General features: G+C 35.5%; 5 pseudogenes; 3 read left to right on the top strand and 2 right to left on the bottom strand.

Moving 5' to 3' along the window:
* MTCO1P6 (MT-CO1 pseudogene 6) lies at positions 18474 to 19857 on the top strand (annotated as a pseudogene).
* On the top strand, positions 20001 to 20685 carry MTCO2P6 (MT-CO2 pseudogene 6; annotated as a pseudogene).
* Positions 20929 to 21605, bottom strand: MTATP6P6 (MT-ATP6 pseudogene 6; annotated as a pseudogene).
* LOC124906249 (ATP synthase subunit a-like) lies at positions 20929 to 21609 on the top strand (annotated as a pseudogene).
* Positions 21609 to 21736, bottom strand: MTCO3P6 (MT-CO3 pseudogene 6; annotated as a pseudogene).

Here is a 26644-nt window from a genome sequence, read left to right as displayed (position 1 = left end):
AAGTCCTCAAGGTGGAGGATTACTTCTGTGGTCCATAAAGGTCATTCACAAAGCATACAGTCAGATGCAGAAGGGTAAGCTGGATCTGGAGATGCTCATGTTTAAGAACTGGAGCCTGTGAAGATTTTGTGGCTAAAATTTCACTAAATTACAGGAGTTGCATGGTACAGAGAAGGAAGCATTGACACTTATGTGATTCTCAAACTTTAGCTTAAATCAGAATCACCTGGAAGAATAAAATATAGATTGCAGGACCAGCTCCCAAAGTTTGTGATCAGTAAATCTGGGGTGGAGCCACAAAATTTGCATCTCTAACAAATTTTCAGAGGTTACTAATGGTTATTGGCCAGGGGGACCACACTTTGAACATGACAAACTATAGAATCAGAATAATCAGGTTTTAAATCCTGACTTTGCTTTTTAGTAGCTTGAAACTGTCAGTGAGTCTTCCGACTTCTCTGATGTTCAGAGATTTTATTTATTCAAATATTCAGATTAGTCCTTTATTAATTAATTCACCTAATTTTTAAAAGAGAGTGTTTGTGTTTATCTTGAATGACTTTGTAGACATTATTATAAAATTGCATGAGAAAATAAATTCCTAGCACATTTTTTGGCACTTGATAAATATGAATACGCAGTACTTGCTTCTATTCTGAGATGCTTTAAATAATCAATTAAATTTATTGAGTCACAAATGAAAATCTAATGGAAATGTATAAGAAGCTATATCTAATACTCTAAAGTAATGATAAAAGTATATATTTACTTATGAAACTTAAATTATTTGTGCACATAATTCTTACATAAAGTAGCAAATGTATATATAATAGCTATATGATATTTTGTGCATATTAACTCTATATGCACAAAATATACTGCAGCCATGTTTTAATTATCTGTTGACAAATGACTCTCATATTTTACTTGGAGGCAAATGGTAAATGAAATTAATACTAATTTGCTGTATTACTAATTAGTAACAGGCAATAATGGATCACCCATTGTAACAGGCTAGTAACGTTTCATTTATACTATACCCTCTGGGAAATTAAATGTTCAGAATCAGTAAAACTTTCCAGATAATTAATGTTTAATTCCCTGAAATAAAATATTTACTCTTCATCATGGCTTTGTAAAACACTCTGAGATGTGTAGCCTTTTAATTTTTTTATTTTAATTTTTAAAAATGATTATATCAAGTTAGGAACATTAGTGTTCCACCATGCTTGAATATCAGGATGCGTGCATGGGCCTTTGAGGAAAATTGGACTTAATGTCCCCTTTGTTCATTTTGCCATAGCTATTTTTTGCTTTTCTATGTCTTTTGTCCAATAGTAGGGCAAACTCTAGAATATGTAATATAACTGCTTACTCACAATGGTCCCATGTTGTTTTGTCTTCATATTTGCAGCTCTTCTTGTAGTCCTGCGGTCACTTTTTGCAGTAATGTGTCCACTCACTTATCACTATCCCTCACAGGCTCTGGTGTATACTCTACAACTAGGGAATATCTGGAAACCAAGAGGTTGTTTTCAACAGAATTAAATATATTCTGTGTCACAGGTGTAATACAGGAATGAGGGCTGAAAATTCTGATTTGGAAACGGTGATGTTATGATTTAGTTATTTACTTATAGGCTTAAGACTATTCCAAGATGATATTGCCTGGAGTAATGACTGCCAAAGAAGATGTGGTTTTTTTTTTTAATTATACGATTTAGTTGTTTTGTATATAATTATGTCACAATGTGTTATTAACTATTATTTATTTAAATTTTAGAACATTTGAATTTGCATAGCAACTATTTCTGACTTCCTGCCTTTGTTTCTCTCTGGCTCCCACAAGTCTTTGCCTGTAAGTCCCACAAGATGAGGTACTCTGGCTCTCCAGTTTTTTGCGGTATACCCACCCCCTGGAATAGTAGCTCTCAACCCCAGATAGTGGATATAATTTGTTGAATGTCACTCGCCTTGCATTTTATAATCACCTGTGTTCTGGGCTAAGATATTTTGATACAAGAGTTCCAGATAGGGGCCAGGTTTGGGGATTTTATTTATTTATTTATTTATTTATTTATTTATTTATTTTTGAAGCAGGGTCTCCCTCTGTCACCCAGGCTGGAGTGCCATGGGATGATCATAGCTCACTGCAGCCTTGAACTCCTGGGCTCAAGTGATCCTCCCACTTCGGCTTCCTGAAGTGCTGTGATTATAGGAGTGAGTCAGCATGGCTGGCATCTGAATGCCTCTTGTGTTAGCTCTATGATAGCATTAGAAATATAAAGATGATATGGAAAGTTACTATCTTTGAGGCATTCACAGTGATATTGAACTGGATGTAGTTTTAAGTATTTTGTATTGAAATATCATAATCACTCTCATGCATAAATATGGCATAGAATAAATAGCAATTATCCCATTCAACAACACACCTTCCATTTTTCCTGTGCTCTCTGACTTGAAGACCAGCTATGTGTGCTGCTCTGTTGTCCTGTCCAGCAATTCTTGGGTAATTCTTAATATTGCTCTTTTTCACTCTCATATCAAGTTGGTCTCCAAGTCTTATATTTTTTTAACTTCCTATTTAATGTCAGAGGATTTTTAGTTTTTAACTTTCTTTACACTACTACTGCCAAAATGAAATCTGTTATCATCTATATTCTGTTTACTGAAACAGTATCCTAACAGGTCTCCTAGCTTCCAGTTTTGATCCCCTGTAATCCATTCTCAAATTGTTCTAAAGCACAAAATTAAACATATCCGTCATTTCCATGCTTAAAAGCTCTCAGTGTCTACTCATTTTATTAAAAATCCAATTCATATCCTTATATTTTATAATGCCCTACATAATGAGTCCCTTCTTGCCCTTCTATGCTTTTTTCTTAAGTATAGTTTATTTGCTTCTCATAAGCCAGTTCTAATAAACTACATACTGTGCCCTGAAATCAACTTCTTAGTCTCTTTCTCTTTTTCTTTCTCTGTGTTTCTCTCTCTCTGGATTTATATTTTGTTATTTTCTCTGCTTATAAAGTGTATCTTCTCTTCAATCTCAACCTCATTTTACTAGTTAATACTCTTCATCCCTTAGTATTTATCTTAAACCCCAAATTCTTTAGGAAACTTTTACTGATCCCCAAGGAACATTGTTTAGCAACATTTGAATACATAACAGTGGTGATCCTTCTATTTAAATATCCTACCTTTCCTGGAGCACAATTTTAGGAGGAGGCAAGACAAGGAGAACATCTCTCTAGTTTGATCCTGCACCTGTATTCGAAATGAGAGGGAGAAGAACTCTCAAAAACTGTGCTAGGGCTCCCATTGAAATAGGGGTTATCTGGGGACCCTGGAATCTCTACAGTGAGTTTCTAATTCTCTATGTTACATCTTCTAGTCCACATTTCTGGGTCTCTTAATCTCCCTTAATTCTGTCAGCACCCCGTACATACATTCACTTGGTCTGTTTCCTATACACTCATGGCAATACATTTTTACAGGATGTAAACACTATCATTTGATTATTATCCTTCCTCCACGCTATTAAGGTGACCACTAGAGAGGACTGGTTTTATAACAAAGATGTGTAGTTCAAAAAACTAGCTTTGCATAGTCAGAAAAAAAGGAAATGGAAATCAGTATTTACCAGTCCTACCCATATGATGGTACTATGTTGTCTGCTTTGCAGATTTTACCTTTTCTAGAATACTTTAAGGTATTAAAGAATTTAATTAAGGAATGTGATTACCATACCTTAGATATGTAATTATTTAAGGTATGTGAGCTTATATCAATTTTTTTTATTATACTTTAAGTTTTAGGGTACATGTGCACATTGTGCAGGTTAGTTACATATGTATACATGTGCCATGCTGGTGCACTGCACCCACTAACTCGTCATCTAGCATTAGGTATATCTCCCAGTGCTATCCCTCCCCCCTCCCCCCACCCCACCACAGTCCCCAGAGTGTGATATTCCCCTTCCTGTGTCCATGTGATCTCATTGTTCAATTCCCACCTATGAGTGAGAATATGCGGTGTTTGGTTTTTTGTTCTTGAGATAGTTTACTGAGAATGATGATTTCCAATTTCATCCATGTCCCTACAAAAGACATGAACTCATCATTTTTTATGGATGCATAGTATTCCATGGTGTATGTGTGCCAAGTCAGTGTGGCAATTCCTCAGGGATCTAGAACTAGAAATACCATTTAACCCAGCCATCCCATTACTGGGTATATACCCAAATGACTATAAATCATGCTGCTATAAAGACACATGCACACGTATTTTTATTGCGGCATTATTCACAATAGCAAAGACTTGGAACAATGATAGACTGGATTAAGAGCTTATATCAATTTTATACATGATGATGATAAAATTAAGAATGGAAGAGATTCTGGGATTAAAACCCTTAGATGTGTTGACTTCAGTGCCTAATGGCAAATTCACATGGTGCTTCATAAAACAATAATTTTTACTGCATGTGAAATCCTTCAGACTTTATCTATCCCACAAGATATATGAGAATCTTCCCTTTGTGAAACTATTTAACATTAAGGAATTAAATCTAAAATGGACCTCTGATGGGAATTCCAGTGATAATGAGGTAAGTGGAAATTTGGTACACCATTAAGCTTTCAATGTTATGAGCAAGAAATCATGGATTTGTCTAATAATACAGTAATTATTACCAACTTTCTTTATCCATAATAAAGGAATACCTGTGTAGGAAGACTGGGTTACATTAATTATGGTATTATTTGCCTCAAAGAATAGATCCTACAATCAAACTCTTTGCTTAAGCCCTCTGTTTCTTATTGATCTCTGACAATAAGAGCAGGAGGGTTAAAAATCATAGAAACCACATGGACTGCTTTATGGAAAAAGAATGAATTCCAGTCTAATTTTGTTTCATAGAAAAATCTTTACTTTTAAGACATGTAATAAATACATTTTCATAGAATAGTATTATGTTCACCCCCCTCCCCAACACAAAAGAAGATATGTCCTCTTCTTTCTGTCTCTGTCTCTCTCTATCTGTAATTCTCTCCCTCTCTCTCTATCTGTAACTCTCTCTCTCTCTCTCTCTCTCATCACTTATTTTAGGACATTTTCCCACCATTTCTTCCCTTTCTTTCCTGCACTATTAATTTTCCTTTCTTTAAATTCCTTTCAGCATTCAAAAAATGATACTAATTCTTTCATTTTAAAACAACAACAAAAAAAACTTTTCCTCCATTTTGCCACCAGATTTCTATTTATACCATCTGTCTGTCCTTCTCTCTACAACAAAACTGGTAGAATAAGGATTCTCCAATGTACTTCCTCTCAGTTTGTCTTAAACCCACTTTTATCAGACTTACATCCCCACAACCATACTTAAGCTACACTTGTTGTCTTACCTGCATGTTCTAAAGATAATGGTCAACTCTTCAACTTCATCTTGACCTTTCACTCAAACTTTTTCCAGGTGATCCCTTTCTTTTCCTCAAATATTTTCTTCTCTTGGCTATGAAACACCACTCTCTTGTTTTTCTGCAATATCTGACCTTTCCTTCTCAGTGTCATTTGATGATTTTCCTCATCTCCCTTATCTCTAAATTTCGGAGTACCCAGAGTTCCACTTTTTGATGGACTTCTCTTTTAAATCTACATTCATTTTTTAATTATGTCATCTGATTATGGAGTTTTAAGTCCCAACTCCAGGCTGGCAATTCCCATGTCTATATTTTCTTTTATATCTACAGCTTAAACTTCTCTCCAGACTGCTAGATATTGTCTCTCAGGTGCCAACAGCCATTTCAAACTCAGAGTCCAAGTCTGAGCTTTGCATTACTCTTCACACCGAGACCCTTTTCAATGATCCTATTTCACCTAGTAGCAGCTCCATTTTTCAGTTCCTCAAAAACCCAAGAGTGATCCTTGAGTTCTCTCTTTTTTTACATCATATCTTCCAGAAAGTCCTGCTGTTTCAACTTTTGAAACATTATCAGAATTTGAGGATTGTTCATTATCTCCAACTGGTACCATTCTAGTTCAAGCTACTGTTACTTCTTGTTGGTTCAGAAGACAAAATCTGAATTGTCTAATGAATAATACTAGAATGTTTGGCTGAGCAACAATTAAAGGAGGCTGTGAGTGGGTGTGCTTCTTCTGCCCCACTTAAAGGGACTTTTCCAGAACTCAACTTTCTTAAGAAAAGCTCTACTCACCCTGACACCTGAGTGCCACTCCCCAAAAGACTTCTGGTGGCTAGTAACTGGTGTTTTTTTTTTTTTTTTTTTTTTTTTAGGGAGTTTTGCTCTTGTTGTCCAGGCTGGAGTGCAATGGCACAATCTCAGCTCACCACAACCTCCACCTCCCAGTTTCAAACGATTCTCCTGCCTCAGTCTCCCGAGTAGCTGGGATTACAGGCATGCGCCACCATGCCTGGCTAATTTTTGTATCTGTACTAGTGATGGGGTTTCTCCATGTTGGTCAGGCTGGTCTCATGTTTTTAGACAAGTTTTGAACATCTGGTTTCTAAATTTAATCAGATTAATGTCTCAATCATAACTGTTATCTACACACGAGGTTGTTCCAATGTTGAAATCTAACAAGAGGAGATCAGAGGGCAGAGAACATGCAGGTCACTGGTGACTTAACAAGAGTTGTTTAAGTGGGATTTGGGGGTAGAAATTTGACTGGAGTGAGATTAGAGAGAATGTTAGAGTTGGTTATCTATTGTTATCCCTTAGTTGAAAAATTCTCCACTGCAACCTTAATCCCATACTGAGTGAAATGTCTTTGTCCTCAACCACCTAGCTGCCTACCTGGTTACTCTACATTATCGCAATAATCTCCCGACTTTCTGCTTTCATGGAGTCCCTCCAACCACCTCTGTCTCAATCTCTTGCAGCTGGCTGAGATTAAAGCAAAGTTCTTAAAATAATTTACAAGGCTCTTTAGATCTGCCCCTTCACGACTCTTCCCCCACACTCACACTACTCCCAAATACTCTGGCTTTCTCATTGTTCACTGAGCCAGTCAGTTGCACTTCGGCTTCAAGGGCTTTACCCTTGAGGTTTTCTCCGCATGATATGCTCAGTTCCCTGAAGTCTAAATGGATTGCATCTTCATGCTTTAAGGCCCTCACCTTTTATGTCACCTTCTCAGTGAGAACCCAGTCTGAACACCTACCTGAGTTGCAATTCGACTATCACTGGCATGTTCTATCCAGAGGCCCTTTCTGTATTAATTTTCTTTTTAGAAGTAACTACTAACAAACTTTTATATTTTATTTACCACATTATTTGCTTTTCCTACTCATATGAACATGAGGATAGGAATTTGTGTGTGTTTGTTTTCTCACTGATGTATTTATAGAGATAAGGTGTTAGTAATTATTTGTTGAATGAATGAATGACCTTGTGGGGACTCGAGCCAACTTAGAGTAAATTGAACAATGTCAGATGAAAATTTGAAAAGGGCTGAGAGAATTGAACCCTCAATTTCCCTTGAAACTTCCTTACCAGCAAAATCAGACCTTCCCCCAAATCTAAGGAAACCAAATATTAATTTAAATAAACACTTTTAATTACTTAACATTAGAGGGAATTTCCTCCTGTCCTTTATAGGAAAGGATCTTAATAATGTAATAAAAAGGAAGATGGTATATAAAGTTGTTTTAGGCTAAATGTATCAATATGTGGTCTGTTACTTGAAATTTAGGAATTAAAATGTTAGCCCCAGTCCCTAGGATGGAACTTAACAGTTTGGTTTGTCCATTAATGAAAACCTGTGCTTAATAATGGCCTACAGTTAATGAGGTTAAGATGGCAGAATGTCCCTGTCATACTATATAGAGAAAAGAGTCTGAAAGTTTAAAAATGGAAATGTTGGAGTAAATGTGTCATGTTCATCCTGCTCAGAATCCCTAACCATATGAACATTTAACTAACCTGGTGAAGAGGATGTAGTAAGTTCTCTTTATACTTTAATGAGACACATTTATACCAGAGTGCAAGCAGTAAAGCCTGAGAAAGTTTAGGGGCTGCCATATCAGTGACTTCCTCCAGTGCTTGGGGAATGTGGGGCTATTCCTCCAAAATGAAAGACAACTTAATATATCTTGTATTGCCATTTGGGAAGAAAGAAGCCAAACTGTAATACATTGGGGTTTTATTGAATTTTAAATTGTTCTGTTCTGTCTCATTTACTGGGAAATCCATAAAGCTGTCAGTTTTGAGTGAAACTCAGAGCAAGAAAAGGGTCTGCAGCAGACCAAGTAAGAGATTCAAGCTGCTCTGCCATTATACCTAATGACACAGCACAGTTAATACTGAAGACAATCTGTGTGGCAGATAGCGATGCTGAATGGGGTCTCTACCAAGCCCCAACTGAACAATTGAGTGCAAAGCCCATGCCTCTTCCTCCCGTACATACTGGGCCTGTATTATTCATAAAGTCATTATGTTGGATATTAACAGCAGCATGTCATTGTAAAATAAAAATGCTATATGTGGGACCAGCCTCCAGAGTTTTAGAATGCACAAGTAATTAACGTAAGCAGACGGCTCAAACTCCCAAATACTCTTACAGTTTCACCACTTCTTACTTAATCCACACACAGGCGCTCATACTGAGTTCTTACATACGAGTAAACTGAAAAGGAAAAAGCATAGGCCTGGCTGACAGATGTATTCGCACAGTAGTATGTTCCATCTTGCAGTGCATAGTTGCTACATTACAACCCAACTTGCAGGGAGGTAGTAGAAGACAGTGGAGAAGAGAAATCTTTTCTTAAGCAGAATGTCAAGCAGTACATCTAGTAATTCTCTTACACATACATTTTTTAAGTTGATGTATGGTATTGATCTATATTGATTCATAGGTGGTGACTAAGTCTTGTCTTGCTGGTAAATGAAATAATAATATTAGAATATTTGCAATAAGAAGGATTGGAAGATATATATGGATGGGCGTTCTAGGATGAGGAAAAAGGAAGAATTCATGTACTGACTAGATATTTTCCAGAAGTATCTATCACAGAAGTATCTATCAATAATCGGGTAGACAAGATGAACCATCCTGTTGATGTTATTCAACCTCATTCTTCAAGTATTCCATTGCTTTCTCAATAGACCCAGGTATAAAGAGGACATACAGGTAGAGATATGAGATAGGCATAGTCTCAAAAACATGAGCTTTCCCTCCTTAAGACCAATTTGGTTACGACCTGTCAACCTGTCAACAGATGTTACAATTAGATTACTCTTGATCCTTTCCCGCAGATGTGGGGTGGTAATGTGTCTTCATGGAAATAAGTATATATAAACTTGCCTTTCGTGTCTAAAATATTTTTGCCAGAACATTCATCAGTGGATTTACAGAATGCCTTATTTATCACCATGTTATCTTGCACATCATAGTCCAAACAGAAAACTTATTTTGCAGTCGCAGAAATACAACAAGGAGCTCATGTGCAAGGGATTCACTGGTTTTAAAACAATTTCTCACTCAGAGGAGAAAAAGTTGATAAAAGAGTGTATTAGCCCACTGAAGTTTCACTTACATCCTGCACTTACTTACACTGTACTCTATGATTCCAATCTCTCTTTAGCCAGTACAAATTTAGGAACCAAGAAGAAGACAGGCTTCTTTTACTGATGTATTGAATAATCTACTGAGAAAATTTACTGCTAATCCCTGCAGCCTTGGGCTTTGTGGGTTTGGAGGTATAAATGGCCTAAAGGAGGTGCACATATATTATAGTCATGGTTCCATTACATGGGAAGCTGAAACCACAGCCTGCCTATCTGGGGCTTCTTATGCTACTGAAATAAGATTAGAGAATAAGATCAGTCTTTTGTTCAGAGTGCTTAATCCCAATCATAAAGAAAAAAATAGTATGCATCTGCACCACAATGGCAAAGGAAGATGAATCCAGAGGATTCACTAGGGTGCCTCTAATTATTCTCATGTCCAGTAATAATCATCAATGGAAAACTGCATCAATGCAATAAAGACAGATCCACTGAAGATATGGATCCTAAAGAAATTCATATCCGGATTACTCTACTAGGAAGAGATGCTATCAGAGGGTAAGGTGTGCTGCTTTTTACAGATGAGATGCGGTCAGAGGTTAAGGAGAATATGGAATGGTTGTTGTAAGAATAATGATATAATTATTTGTTTAGGCCTAGTGACCAGGCACACAGTTGAACAATTTAGCAACTATGACTTAAGCTAATCATTCTCTTTTCCTTTAATTCTCTGTTACATTATCTGAGAAACAGAGATAATTGTTTGTGTTACACTTTTGGTTCCACGGGGAAGTATAGATAAACTGAGATTATCCCTCAATGACAGTATGTCTTCCCTGGGCTGATGGTAGCATTTTTTTTTCCTCTGAGAAAGATTGGGAACAGATGAAGACTGGAAAAAAAGAGTGGAATGTGGTTGGTAGTCTCTATTTGTTCTTCTCCATCTTTAGGCTGTTTTCTGCACTTTGCTACTTGCTGTATTTCTTTAGAGGCTTGCCCTTACAGTTCAACCTCGACTCCATAAACTCTAGCTTTTAGTGGAGTATGGCCAATGTCGACAGTAACAGGTGAGATGGGAGGTTTGATGGTAAAAACAATTGGGTTGAAATCTTTGTAGTTGCTGCTTCTCTCTACAAATGGGGTTCCTGTTGTGTGGGTCTAAATCAGACTGGGCTTTAATGTTTTACTCCTTGCTTTTTCATGGATGGTAAAAAATTACAAAGATCCGAGTAGCTGGGTACCTCAATATTACCTTCTCCTTAATACCTGGCACACTCTTTAGAAGTTTATTCATTACATTGACTTCAAAATCCCACAAGTATGCCTCCTGTTTTCAATAGACTGTGACTAATAACTCTAGTTTTATCAGAGAAGGAAGAATAAGAGACTGCTTTTGCTTCCAAAGGAGCTGCAGAGAAATTTAGGGGTAAAAGGTTCTCAGGCTCACTTGAGTACACAGATATACCAACCCCATGCCTTGCAGTTCTGATTTTTCCCCATTAATACCCTCATTTTACATAATATACTTGGTGCAATTTCATTTCCATCTTGACTGGTGATTCTGCCACCTGTGCAATTAGATTTTAGGACTAACAACCATGATTTCCCTGCAGCTTCAATAAGTAAAATATTATTTTAAATTATTATTGTCTTGTTGCTTGCTCTCTGTGCCTTGAATGTGGAGTTCAATGATCTGAACTTCCTTTTCTGTAATTTCTCCAGTGTCAGCAGAAGTGGTCATTCCACCTTGCAGTTTAAGTAAGCATCATGATTGTCATGATGAGTGATCAAGTGAATCTATTCCTCGATTTTCTGAAGTCTTCGTTTTGATTGGCACTTTATTCCAAGCAACCATAAGTGATAATTCATATAATCATAACACCCCTGCAAATCATTGATTAACAATATCCCACTCATACAGGCAAGCAATTCATCTCAGAAATCCAACTTGAGGATTTTTATCTTGGGACTACTGCTGGTTTCAAGAATGTAATTAGTTAATTCAGACCAGGAAAGCAAATGCTACTCTGAATATTTAAAAGACATAATTTAATTCAGGGAATCATTTACATTGTTAATGGAATAGCCAAGAAACAAACAGGGAAATATGAAAGAGAGTCCAAGGTGAGCAATAGCAGGAATTTTTTGCCATTGCTAAGCTAGAGGAACAAAGAAAAAAAGTGTTGCTTTCAAAGCTCAGGAACCTGGATTATTCACTGGAACCAATACTCACAGGAGACCAGTCTTGGGGAAGCAGTTGCCAGGGATGGCACCTGATGCTGCTTAAATTCCTCGTGGCCAAATTCAACCAGAAGCCACTTGACTCAGACGTCTAGAAAATGCAGCCTTGAGTAGGTCAGTATTTGTTTGATACTAATCTGTGCAGGAGAAAAGAGAGGAATCCACTTGAGGTCAAACAAGCCAAGGGATGGCAGAATGTTAATGGGCTTTGTAAAATTCCAACTCACTTAGAAGATAATTGAGATCTTATTTCCTAACACTTGTCAGAATAGATCTCAACCCAAGTCTTGACTTACTTCTTCCTTCCCTATGTAATTTCACTTTTATCCAGTGTGGATTTGTAGAAAGTAAAGGTAACAATCCCAAACAACTCATGTAAATATAAAACTTGTTACTTTTAAGCAGGTAGAAAAATTGTTAAAACTTCTATGTTATTCAACCAAAAAAATTGCTACCAGTTTCTAAATATACACAAATGTTTTCTACAAGTACTTCCCCGTCTATAGTTTTGCAAGTTCTTACAAGAACTTGCATCCTACTACTTTCAATCATAAGAGAGGTTTCAGAATCCATTCTCTGATGGTTAGATGATATATGAATCTACAAGTAAATGATTCTGTGGGTCATTTCTTAGGCATCTATAAAACTGGAACCTGACACTTAAAGTGGCCATAATTCAGTCCAATATGTGATGTCCTTTCAATCAATAACTAACAAAGAATAGATTACATAAGTAACCCTTAGCTGAAAGTCTCAGATAGATGTTGTCATTGTGGCCTTTGAATAGAATTAATACCATCAGAAACAGAACGGGTTTATATCTATCATCAGAACAACATATGTGTCTTCCATTTGTTGTTAAGACAATTTCCTATTATCTCTTTTGACTAATAATCAGGACTTTTCCCCTGCTTAACAAGATGATCTTATGCCGGAAACCTGAAGGTACCATTGTTATCTTGTGCATAACAATGTCACAGTCAGATTTGGTGTATGTTTTTCTTTAAGTTTATGGACTGCTACATGTGGCCATTCATAGCAGTAAAATTTGAATGTTAGTGCTCAGCCTTGGAAGCATTCTGCCAGTGGTTAATTTAGCTTATTTTATGTGAATACATATGACATTTTCCTTCTCTTTCCAAGAAACAATCTCTAGTTTTTACCGGCAAATACTCAAAAATAGTGATTCCATAACCTTCCTGCAGTTTATCCCAGTACCGTGAGAGAATTCTTTCTAATCCGGTGCCTTAGGCTAGATTTCTCTTGCACTATTTTCAGTAAAAAGAAAATTACAATTCATTGTTTTCTTATAAGCCAGAGTCAGTTATTGTTCCTTATCTCTTTTTCCTTTATTTTTGTAGTGTCAATTCTACTTTCAATCAAATGTGTCTTCTACTATTGCTTTTATGTTAAGAGATGTAACATTCTTACATAGACTCTGTGTGTTTCATAAGTTTTGTGTTTTACACGTGTATTTACATTCTTCAAATTTTCTTCAAAATCTAAAATGTTACTTCTTTTTATTTCTCTTTTTCCTACAGAACTTTGCTCATACCTTTATTATAAATAAACTTAGGTTCTGTTTATATATCTACTTCCTCACCCCTCTCAAAGAGGAAGGATGAGAATTTCTTATCAGTGCCTTGGTTCAAAGTGCTTCTTAGAGCTTGGCACAGAGAAGAACTCAACAACTATTTGATTCACTAGATGAATGACTATAAGCATAAATGTAGTGCTTACAGGTAGGCAGTATGAAATTGCTAGACAGAACCTGCCAGCTTCTATATCTGACCCGAATGTAGCTCTATACCAAATAATTAGTCTACAGGTAGACTCAGACCAGTGAGTTGATGTTTTCTACATATGGAAACTCTTTGTATATATACATGTTTTTTCAACTAAAAGTGAGGTGGTGATTTTCTTACTATAATAGAAACTCCCTCCTATGTTTACCTAAATCCTCCCATAAAATACTATGAGATGCAAGTAAACAGTGAAAAATCTTATTTTGCCACTATTATTTTGTTAGTGACTAACAGTGCTTAAAACATTGTAATGTTCAGTATTTGTTGCATTGCTTAATATATGAATTCTTATTTTTATGGATTATAGCCTATGTCCTTTTTGTAACACATAAAATAACAGAGTGAATAGAACAATATCTTATAGTAGCCAAAATGTAACTAAAAATATATTTAGTAAACTTATATTCAGCTTCTGTTCTTAGTAATAAAGAAGATAATAGCTAATTATTTTTGATCATTTATAATAGGACCAGAAACAGTAATAAGAACTTTATATAGATTGTGTTTTTAATCTCTAAACAAGTCTTAAGGTAGAGAGTCTCCTATTTTATAGATAAGAAATCTGAAACACATAGAGACTGAGAAGATTACCCTAAATTATATATCTCATAACTGACCTTGTCAGGATTTGAACAATGTTTGACTCAATGTCCATGATCTTTACTATGCTATGTGAACTCTCAAAGCATAAAGGGAACTTAATATTTTCAGTGAATGTTAATGTGCTGCAGGCAAAAATACAAGCTCAACTATTTGCATTAGCAAGGTGAGTCAAGTTGAAGATGTTCTTTCATTTTATTTTATACATAAATATGTTTATTATGCTTTGAAATAAATTGTATTCTTCCTACTATGCAAGGATGCCTTCTCAACCAAAGCAATATGTGCACTTTCAACAAGCCTGCAATAGGATGGTATTGAACATCTATAACACACTCAGCCAAAACTAGGGCGCAAAAGGAATCCTACCCTCAGAAATTACCCATTGTTTTAAAAGATGTGTTTGTGTATTTTCTTTCTTGAGGAAAAGCCTTACTAGGTTGTTTTGCAACTTTAATTTTCCACAAAGAATCAATCAGAATTTCATTTCAGTTCACAGCTATGTTATATAACTTTAAATTATTAAAAATCATTAACACATACAATGGGTACATATTTTAAGAAAATTTGACTTATAATAGGCCATTAACTCAACATGTGACATTTACTATTTCCTCCCCAAACACTATTATTGTAGAAGTTAGATTATTTGTGAAATAATATGCAGTTATATTGATAGCATAAATCTGTAATAGACTAAAGAACATAGTTCGACTTTGCTTCAATGAGAACAATAAATTTGTCAATTGTCTTGTTTTATTTAATGCTTACTTATTCTTTCATTTCTTGATGTTAAGTTATATACTTGGTTGTCTCCTCTGTCTCTCCCTCTGTGTCTCTCTCATTTACTCATTGTCTTTTTAAAATAAGACTAAAGGTATGATTTTCTTTAATGCAAAATCTGCAGATTTTACCTTGAACCTGTTTATATCCTTAGAAAATACATGCCTTTCTTTAGATTCGAGGATAAAATGTTTCTTTATGGACTAAGAAAAGTATTACAGAACCAAATGTTTTAGGGAAGGGATATAATTTAGAAAGGTTTCTTAAAATGCACTGAAATCACAGCAGAGGAAAGTAGTCTCCACTTTCTCAGCAGGTTGCTTGTAAATCCAAATGACATGCACAATGTATTGAAATATTCTGTGACGGACTCGCCACATTTACTGCAGCATTAATATAAGAAGCTCCTCCAATGGTTCACCTTCTTGCTTACTGATGAGTGGAATTGTTTGTGTCTCCACTGGGACTATAATTGGCACTCACCCTTCCCTCAGCCTTTCAGAATATTGGCATTTCTTTTGAGGAAATTCTAAAGCAAAGGAGGAACTAACTGAGGGCAGGAGGATCTTTTAAATAGATGAGATCATCCATCAAGTACCAAGTCTTCCACATTCTCAAGATTTATTTGGGTAGCAACTATTATCTCTTGCACAATGGATGTGAAAGAAGTTATAACAATATTTTTGCATATTGCTTCCTATATTACCAATATAAATTAGAGTCAATTTACAGCTTTTTTCTAAAGCAATGCTTTCTGCCTCTAAATTCATCATCTGCTGTGAAAAATGAATCATCTTTTTTGACCCATACACAAACTGCATTTATAGATCATTTTAATGATATAATAAGCTTTAATTTAACAAATTCTTTCTTGAATAGTCAAGTTTTCTTATACATAATAATTTTCTACTTAAAACAAACTCTAACAATATATAATAATACCAAAATTGTTTATTGAACATTCAGGCACCAGTCACTATGTTCAGCATTTTATACATATTACCTCTTAATCCTAATATTCATTTATTTCAATATTACTATCCTTATTTTACTAGTAAAGTAATTGAGAATTAGGGAAACCAGGTGATAGTTTCAATAACCCATTTCTTAAAAAAAGTAATTGGGCAAGATTTCAATCTAGGTTACTTTGGCTCAAGTATTTGATCTCCTAGCCTGCATCTTGTTTTCTTAAGGAGAGTATTGTTCACCTACATATTTGCCAGTTGAGAAGAAACATATTTCACAAAGGAATCTTGTTGTTTTAAAAATATATTCTGCAGTGTTGCCTCTTATATGTCAAATATAGTTTCCTGAAAAACATTTTTAGTTTGCTTTGCACTCCACTGCACACTATTAAATACCCATAAAGTTGTTTATATTTCATTTTAACCCTTGCAATTATCGTAAGGTCAGTAATGATGATGCCTCTTTTACTCCTGATTTTATTAAACAATATCTTCTCTCTTATTTTCTTCATCAACCAATTTTGACTATTATGTTGATCTGTTTCAAAGAAAAAAAACAACATTTGGTTCATTGTTTTGTTCATTTTGATTTGTTTTCTATTTTATTGATTTCTACTGCAATATTTATGATTTCCTTCTTTCTTCTTGCTTGGAGTTTAGTTTGTTTATAATTTTGTTCAATAATACTACATATACTTGCTAATTTTTATATCGTTTTACTTATTACTGAAAACTGGTGTACTAAAGCTTTCAAATCTTATTGTTGCATTTTTAAATTCTTCCTTCATTATGTCTGTTATTAATCCATAAATTTGGGGGCTCTGTTGTTCCCTGAATATAGGTCTGAAATCATCAGATCTTCCTGATGAATTGTTTTTATTATTATAACATCCTCGTCTTTGACTCCTGTAACTTTTTTCTTTGTATTAAAGTCAATTTGTTCTATTAGTGCAGCCATTCATGCTATTTTGTCATTCCTACTGGCATTATATATTTCTCTGTACTTTTTCTATTGATCTATTTATTCCTTTGAATCTCAAACTTTCTTATTGCAGTTGATATGACACAGTGTATGACTTTTTTTTTTTTTTTTTTTTTTGAGACGGAATCTCACCCTATCACCCAGGCTGGAGTGCAGTGGCATCATCTCGGCTCACTGCAATCTCCATCTCCTGGGTTCAAGAGATTCTCTTGCCTCAGCCTCCCAAGTAGCTGGAATTACAGTTATGTGCCACCGTGCCAGGCTAATTTTTGTATTTTTAGTAGAGACGGGTTTTGTCATGTTGGTCAGGCTCGTCTCGAACCCCTGACCTCAGGTGATCTGCCCACCTCGGCTTCCCAAAGTGCTAGGATTATAGGTGTGAGCCACCTTCAGTGACATCAATGTTATTTAGGCACTGGCTTCCTAATTTCTATCCTGGGAATATTTCCCAATAATCATGAAAGGCCTTAATTAGACATTAAACCTTTATACTCAGAAAATATTAAGTGCTTCTGTTTTCCTAGCTTAACACTGACTGGTGAAGTTTTTTGTAGAGTAGGCCTAACAGAATCTGAAAAAATGATACTATGGAACTGGCTTTTTAATCTTATTAGATTTGAATTTAGTAATGGTCTCATTATCAGTGAAAAATGGAAAGTACAACACAGATTATCCTTAGCATGTAGTTGTAAAAGAGTTAGCTAAATGATCACATATAGCTAAGTACTTACATAAGGAAAACTATGGGAGAACAGGTAATTGTAGCAATACAAGATAAGGGAGGAAAACAGTACAAGAATTGTGGAATGGGCTGGCATCTTCTAAGTGCAGTGGAAAACCTGAAGAAGGAAAATGACAGACTAACTGCTTTAAATTTCCAGTTTAAGGCCAGGGATCAGAAATAATTCGTTATAGTTTCACAGCTAACATTTGTGAAAACCAAACCCAAAGTCTAACCTTTTTCGTAGCTGTATTATTTAGCAGAGAAATCAATTCACAGTCTCATCAGTTCTTTTTCATTAGGGTATTGGTTTGGAACAAGTAGAACTCTGAGAATAAGAATGGAACATTTGGCAGGTGTCGATAAACCTGAATACCTTGTCTTCTCTTATGGTTTGAATTACATTCCCCACCACATTCATATATTGAAGTCCTAACCCCAGTACCCCAGAATGTGACCTTATTTGGAAATAAGATCCTTGCATATTTAATTCATTAAGATAAGGCCAATAAGGTAGGCCCTAATCTGACTGATATCCGCATGAAAAGAAGAAATGCAGACATGGAGACAGATTACACATATGGAGAATGACATGTGCACCTGAGGTAGAGATCAGAGTGATGCATCTACAAGCCAAGGAGCATGAAGATTGCCAGCAAACCACCACAAGCTAATAGAGAGGCATGGAACAGATTCTCACAGCCTTCAGAAGAAACCAACCCTGTTGATAGCTTGATCTTGGACTTTTAGGTTCCAGAACTGTGAGACAATAAATTTCTGTTGTGCAAACCACCTAGTTTATGGAACTCTTTTAGCCCTAGAAAATGTCATTCTTCAAACAAACCAAGGCCAACCAGGAACTCTGCTAGGAGATGATCAGATCTACAATGTTATTGTTACCGCCCACGCATTCATCATACTCTTCTTTATGGTAATACTAATCATAATTGGGGGTTTCGGCAACTGGCTAGTCCCGCTGATAATTGGTGCACCCGATACGGCATTCCCTCGGATAAATAATATGAGCTTTTAACTTCCCCCTCCGTCTGTTCTACTCCTACTTTCATCCTCAATAGTAGAAGCCGGTGCTGGAACCAGCTGAACAGTTCATCCCTCTTTAGGGGAAACCTAGCACATGCAGGAGCCTCTGTGGATCTGACCATCTTCTCACTCCACTGGGCAGGGGTTTCTTCTATTTTAGGGGCCATTAACTTTATTACCACAGTCATTAACATAAAACCCCCAGCCATATCAAACACCACTTTTCATCTGATCAGTCCTCATTATGGCAGTCCTTCTACTCCTTTCTCTTCCAGTCCTATAGCTGCCGACATTATTGTGCTATTAATTGACTGTGACCTCAACACTACTTTTTTTGACCCTGCTGGAGGGGGTGACCTTATCTTGTATCAACATTTATTCTGATTCTTTGGTAACCCTGAAGTGTATATCCTTCTCCTGTCAGGCTTCGAGATAATCTCCCGTTCGTAACATATTATTCTGGAAAAAGGGAATCATTTGGGTATATGGGCATAGTGTGAGCCATTATATCAATTGGCATCTTAGGACTTATCGTATGGGCTCACCATATATTTACAATAGGAATAGACATAGACACAGAGCATACTTCACGTCCACTACCATAATTATTGCTATCCCTACTGGCGTCAAAATATTTAGCTGATTAGCTACACTGCATGGCAGTAACATCAAATTATCTCCCACAATATTCTGAGCCCTGGGATTCATCTTCCTTTTCACAGCAGGAGGTCTAGCCTGCATTGTACTAGCTAATTCATCACTTGATACTGTCTTACATGATACGTATTATGTTGTAGCCCATTTCCACTATGTCCTATCAATAGGAGAGGTATTCGCCATCAAGGAGGCTTTGTCCACTGATTCCCCCAATTTTCAGGTTATATACTTAATCAGACCTACGCTAAAATCCACTTCACCTTTGTACTTACAGGTGTTAATGTAACCGTTTTCCCATGGCACTTCCTCGGCCTATCGGTATGCCCTGGTATTACTCCGATTATCCTGATGCATCCGCCACATGAAATATTCTCTCATCTGTAGGCTCATTTATCTCACTAACAGCAGTTATACTAATAATCTTTATAAAACAAAAAGTTCTAACAATTGAACATTCATCTACTAATTTAGAGTGGCTTTACGGCCGTCCACCACCTTACCACACATTCGAAGAGCCAACCTACGTGAAAACCTAAACGAGAAAGGAAGGAATTGAATCCCCAGAAACTGGTTTCAAGACAATCCCATAACCTCTATGACTTTCTCGATAAGATACTAGTAAAATCATTACATAACTTTGTAAAAGTTAATTTATAGGTAAATCCTGTAGGTCTTAATGGCTCATCCATTTCAAGTAGGCCTTTGAGACGCTACATCCCCTATTATAGAAGAACTGCTCACTTTCCATGACCACACTCTTATATTTTCTTAATTAGTTCTTAATTAATTAGTTCTTAATTAGTTCCCTGGTCCTCTCTATTTATCTCCCTAATACTCAGAACAAAATTAACTCATACTAGCACCATAGATGCCCGAGAAACCGAGGATGTCTGAACTGTCTTACCTGCCATTATCTTAATTTTAATTGCCCTCCCATCCTTACGTATTCTGTACATAACAGATGAGCTTAACAACCCTTCTCTTACCGTCAAAGCAAATGATATTGAAGCTATGAACATACAGACTGAAGAATTAGGCTTTGATTCTTACATAGTCCCAAGAGCAGACTTAAAGTCAGGAGAATTTCACCTCCTAGAAGTTGATAACCAAACAACTCTCCCAGTAGAGATCCCCATCTGTATATTAATCTCATCTGAAGATGCCCTGCACTCATGAACTATCACCTCACTGGGCCTCAAAACAGATGCAATCCCTGGACGCTTAAATCAAACTACCTTGACTGCTACATGACCAGGCCTTTATTATGGACAGTGCTCAGAAATTTGTAGGTCTAATCACAGTTTTATACCTATTGTCTTTGAATTAATCTCCTTAAAATACTTCGAAACCTGATCCATATCCACACTATAATACAACTGTAAAGCTACCAAGCATTAACCTTTTAAGTTGAAGACTGAGGTGATCTATACCTCTCTGCAGTGAATGCCTCAACTAGATACTTCTACATGATCCATGTTATCCTGTCAACAATGATAACTTTATTCTCCATTTATTCAGTTAAAATGATCAAATTCCAATTATCATATACCCCCTACACCAAAAATAATCAAAATACAAAACACAAAGCCCCCTGATAATTAAAATGAATGAAAATCTATTCACCTCTTTTACTACCCTGACAATTCTAGGTCTACCTGAAGTAGTATTAATCATTTTATTCCCCACCATACTATTTCCAACCTCCATTCATCTAATTAGTAACCGATTGATTTCCATTCAACAAAGATTAGTTCAACTTGTACTAAAACACATAATAATTACCCATAACATTAAAGGACGAACCTGATCCCTTATAGTGATCTCCCTAATACTCTTCATTGCCTTAACCAATCTCCTCAGGCTTCTACCCCATTCATTTACACCAACTATCCAATTATCAAAAAATCTAGGTATAGCAATCCCCTTATGAGCAGGCACAGTAATTACAGGCTTCTGCTTTAAAACAAAAGTCTCCTTAGCTCACTTTTTACCACAAGGCACACCTATGCCACTTATCCCTATACTAGTGATCACTGAAACTATTAGCCTATTCATTCAACCAATGGTGTTAGCTGTGCAATTAACAGCCAAAATTACAGCCGGACACCTACTAATACATTTAATCAGAGGAGCCACACTAGCATTGTCAACTATTAGTCTTCCCACAGCTTCAATCGCTCTCATTATTCTAATCCTACTGACCATTCTCAAATTTGCCATAGCCCTTATTCAGGCTTATGTCTTTACACTGCTAGTAGGCCTTTATCTATATGATAACACATAATGACACACCAAACACATGCCTACTATATAGTCAAACCCAGCCCCTGACCACTAAGAGGAGCTCTCTCAGCTCTCCTAATGACATCTGGCCTGGCCATGTGATTTCACTTTAACTCTATCACTCTTTTAACCTATACATAATATAGGTTATCTTATCTACCAGATTATTGAGGGCCTCCTATGCATCCTGTTGGTGAGTATCCAATTAATTTGTGTCTTTTCCTGTAGAAGAAGCCTTCCTTCTCTGACTGAGGATTTTAAGCTTCTCTTTACAGAGATAAAAAGAGTACCTACGTTATTAAAAACAATTATGTTTAGGCCACAAATTACAGTGTAAGATGCCACCATTGAAAACAGCTTCCTGAATCCAGTGGGGAATAATAGAGTCTTTGAGAAGCAAAGAACAATGACAATACTTCACCTTCAGAAACAAGATAAGCTTTGTTACTATAGCATGATTGGAATAGTAGTGAGAATGATTTTACCCAAAGAAGCATTTGTGGTTACTTATTGATAGTCATCACTGTGACTGATGCGTGTGTATTTACTAAACTGTTGCCTTATTCATTCGGCAGTGGCCCTAGGAGGTAATAGTATAAGTAATCCTCCCAGTCAGCAGAACTTTAAACATTAATTTTGAGTGTTCACTGTCTGAAAGAAATGGCCAGAGACACATATCTACATAATTTCATGGGCAGTGACTAATGATTTGGCTGAATTTTAGAGGAAAAAACAACAACACTAGTGACATGTTCTGGAGTAGAAATATTAGAATGGACCTTTTGTAAAGGCACAAATTAATTGCATACTCACCAACAGGATGCATAGGAGGCTCTCAATAATCAAGTAGATAAGATAATCTATACTACGTATGCCAGCCTGTCCTCTTTACCAGCCACCTCAGACTCTGCTTGACATCAGAATGTTTTCACCAATGGAAACAACAAAGGCTCAATTGAAAAGGAAGCTGAGTTGTTCACCTGTCTTTCAGTCACATTAGTTTTTTATGCTGTTGAATCCAGAGGTAAAGGAAGGGCTTACTGTCTTGGCAAGGATAACTCAAAATAGAGAGCTATAAATACATAATGGGACTAATGTGGTGGTTTTCATGTTGAAAAGTAAAAGCTAATGCAAAGTACAGAAACCCAACCCAGGCAGGACCACTAATAACACGAGTCTTTCATGCATAAAGGCACAGCCACCACGAAAGGTAAAACTCCCTGGCATGCTAAGATGGTGGCTAAAATCAAGATGATCATAAAATGGTTAGTGGAAGAAAGAAGTTGCAAATACCATCCATGGCCATGTATCCAGTTTCATGAATGTGCTGTTATTATAGATTTAATTATTTTTATTTAATATTTATATATTTGCATACATTAATTTTTCCATTTTACCTTTTTCCTTATATTGAATATAAATGCATTAATATTACTTAGTCCAATATTTCAATGTTTCAATTATAAATACATCTATATCCACATATGTATATATGGATACATAGTTTGTAACTGATTAGAAGATAAATGAACTTCACACTGAGATGTGTGAATGGCATATCAGACTTTGTATCTCCTCTTTCAAGGAAAGAATGAAAAGTCTTCAGTTATGTGGGTAGTTATAGCACGTTAACCTAAAGCTTATTCAAAACTGAAAAATGAAAAAGCAATGTACAGCAAAAATAAATTGTCAGGTTATCAGTTTTCAACTTGACATTATCACTATCTTTTTCCCAGTCTGCTCTGCATGTTAGGAACTGTATTAGCTAGAAGTGTCTTTCTTGTTTTATTCAAGGTTAATTTGCTAATGAAGGGGACCCAGTCCAAGATATGAAAGACAGAAAAGAAGGAGAAATCAAATGTAGTCATACGCATGGAGATTTGAGATTCTCAGTGGTTTCCCACTTTTCACTAAGCACTCTTTGTTGCTAATAACTAAGATAAGAGGTGAAAACTTCATAGAAATTCCTGGGAATTACAGGAGCTTTCTAGTAAATCTTTGAGAACAACATATGATCACCTTGATGCTTTAAAGTGAGCTTTCCAGTGTATGCTTATTTAATGTTTGGCGGTAGCTTATCTGATTTTTAATAGACTTCTCGCTAATAGTCCGCCAGTTCTTAAAAACAATCATCTAAATTTATATTAAACCATTTATATTTTGCATACAGTGGCTTCTGTTTTTTAATCAAGTCCTGGATTATAAAGTGAATAAGGTCTGGACCAGGAAAATGGGTGTAAAAAAATACGGATTTCCATTTTACATAAACCATATCGTTTATTTATTGAATGGTTAAGAATATGAGTAGAATATGATGAGTTACAAGTTAATCATACTTTATGATGTTGTTTATTTGAGGAATATATTTATAATGTGTGCATTATCTGTAGATTTTTTTTTATATTATGACTCATGCAACAAAAATCCCTGAAGTTTAGCAATAAGGAAATGCTCTCATCTAAATTAACTATTAATAGGGAAGTTTTCCTGTAGATAAATCTGAAGTCTTACATTCGATGTAATGGATTAGAAATATCAAATTTATATTTTCTTTTTTATTTTAAAACTGGTACCAGATAATCCCAGCACTTTGGAAGGCCAAGGTGGGCATATCACCTGAGGTCAGGAGTTCAAGACCAGCCTGGCTAATATGGTGAAACCCTATTTCTACTAAAAATACAAAAACTTAGCCAGGCGATGTGGTGTGTGCCTGTAATCCCAGCTACTAGGGAGGCTGAGGTGGGAGAATCACTTGAACCTGAGAAGCAGAGGTTGCAGTGAGCCAAGATTGTGCCATTGCACTCCAGCTTGGGCAACAAGAGTGAAACTCCATCTGGAAAAAAAAAAAAATCCTGGTAGCAGAATATCTTTCTGTAACTGTTCATAAAATTTTATTTTATTCTGCAAAACCGTCATCGACAATTGTAGAACTAAAATTAGTAGGAAATTTATGCAGAAAAATTTACTCAATTCTTAGTATACCTTGGGAGTTAGCATGTGAAGTAGCAAAATATCTGCATTATCTTAGTCACTATTGCTGTTGCTTGCTATTATAAACCTGTTTTAGTCAAATGTCTTATCACTATTTTACATATTTATGTACAATGTAAATTAATCATTTTAGCTTTATTCTCTTAGAGTCAATGCCTGTATGAAATCAGATCACAGCTTTAAATGTCATGATGCCCAGGTGCATTGGCCAAGAAATATTCAAAATAAATCTATAAGAAAAGAATAAATACCTCAATATAAAAAAGCATTCTGCAGCAATATACTTTATCTAGATTGCTTGCAGGACTATGTAGGTGAACTCATTTATAATTTTTTTAGAAAACCATTGAATTATGTAATGAAAAGCAACAGAAATCAGAAAACATGGAAACAAGGTAGGCACTAGAAAAAAATGGTTAAGTTTTGTATTATCTTTCAGTATTCATTTCACAAGTCTAAATTATTTTCAAAAATTATTTTATTTTAATATTAATAAATTATTTATTGGCTAGTTTTTATTAGTATGACATAGATTATATATATAATCTTGCACAGAGGATAAGGTTGTTAGTTTAACCAATAACAAAGAAGTACTGTGTACTAAATTTACTTATATAAACAAATAACTAACAATCATTTACAAGAAAATTATGAATTTTAGAAACAGTAATTTTAACAAGTCTATTAGACACCCTCTGAAGAACAAGAACTATCAAGATACATAGTCTTATCAATGACTGTGACACTATAATCTAATTTAAAATAATTGAATTATTAGGGTCAATTTAAGACAATGCAATTTTGGGTGATAAACTATAATCCATTGATTAAAGTCAATTAGTAGCTAAGACAGTAATAACTCCCTTCAAACAAATGGCTACATTGATTCTTATTACAAGAGTTTAACAGAAAATCAAAGATATCAAGTGCAATAGCACTTAGAAATGATTCACAATTTCTAAAGTAGTCAGAAATGAAATCCTCTCATACTTAAATTGTTGCTATTAAATGTAAGGTGCTCAGAGAAGAGCATTGAAAAATAAACAAATAATATATATTGAGAATCTTCTAGGTGGTGATGTGCAACATATTACTATCATGTCTAAAACAATTATCAATGAACTTTGAAAACATTATGCTAAGTGAAATAAGCCAGTCACAAAAGGACAAATAATGTATAATTCCACTTATAAAAGGTACTTAGAGTAGTCAGATTTATTGAAACTGAATGTAGAATGTGTGGTTGACTAAGGGAAGAGGCGAATGCAGAATTACTGCATAATGGTTACAGCTTCAGTTTGGAAAGATGAAAAACATTCTGGAGGTAGATAGTGGTGATAGTTGCACAGCAATGTGAATATACTTAATGTCACTAACTATACCCTTAAAATGGTTAAAATAACAAATTTTATGGTATGTATATTTTACCACAATTTTAAATAAATAAATACAATTATAAGGAATTAATCCTGTTTTCAAACAGTAGGTGATCTGTTCAGGATATAGGACAAGAAAAATCTAATAATGAGGAATGATACAGGTAATGATATAAGACAGCACCTGAAAACCTGTCAAATAATTGATATAGAATTTATTTCTGTTCGACAGGCATACCTGTTTATAGCTGTGCTGAAGTATTCATCACCAATGGGCCTGCTGCATCTGCAGCCTTTGGAGCCTCTATTTAGGTTGTCTCCAATCTTGTAAAAAGACATCCTAGCTTACCTCAGTGTGCTCTACAGTTCTACTGGTTTTCTGCACATGTCATGAAATGAAAAGTTTGGGAAGAATTGTATACTAAGCGTAAGAAGTTTAGAAAAAGAGGGATCCACTATGTTTCGGAGTAGATTTATGAAACTATGTAAACAAGAAGATATTTTAAAGAGATCCTAAAATATGAGTATGGTTTTCATAAGCATTCTGGTTTTACAAATTGCTGGAAATAGGTAAGAGGTAAGAAAGTATAAGGTATGTGCAGGAAATAGTGACAAATAAATGTGATATTAGCAAAAAATGATACTATACCTGAACAGTGGGAGATAAAT

Source organism: Homo sapiens, chromosome 3, assembly GCF_000001405.40.
Source record: "Homo sapiens chromosome 3, GRCh38.p14 Primary Assembly".
Classification (NCBI taxonomy): Eukaryota; Metazoa; Chordata; class Mammalia; order Primates; family Hominidae; genus Homo; species Homo sapiens.
The sequence above is the reverse complement of the archived record's forward strand: the minus strand, read 5'-3'. Positions and strand labels throughout refer to the sequence as shown.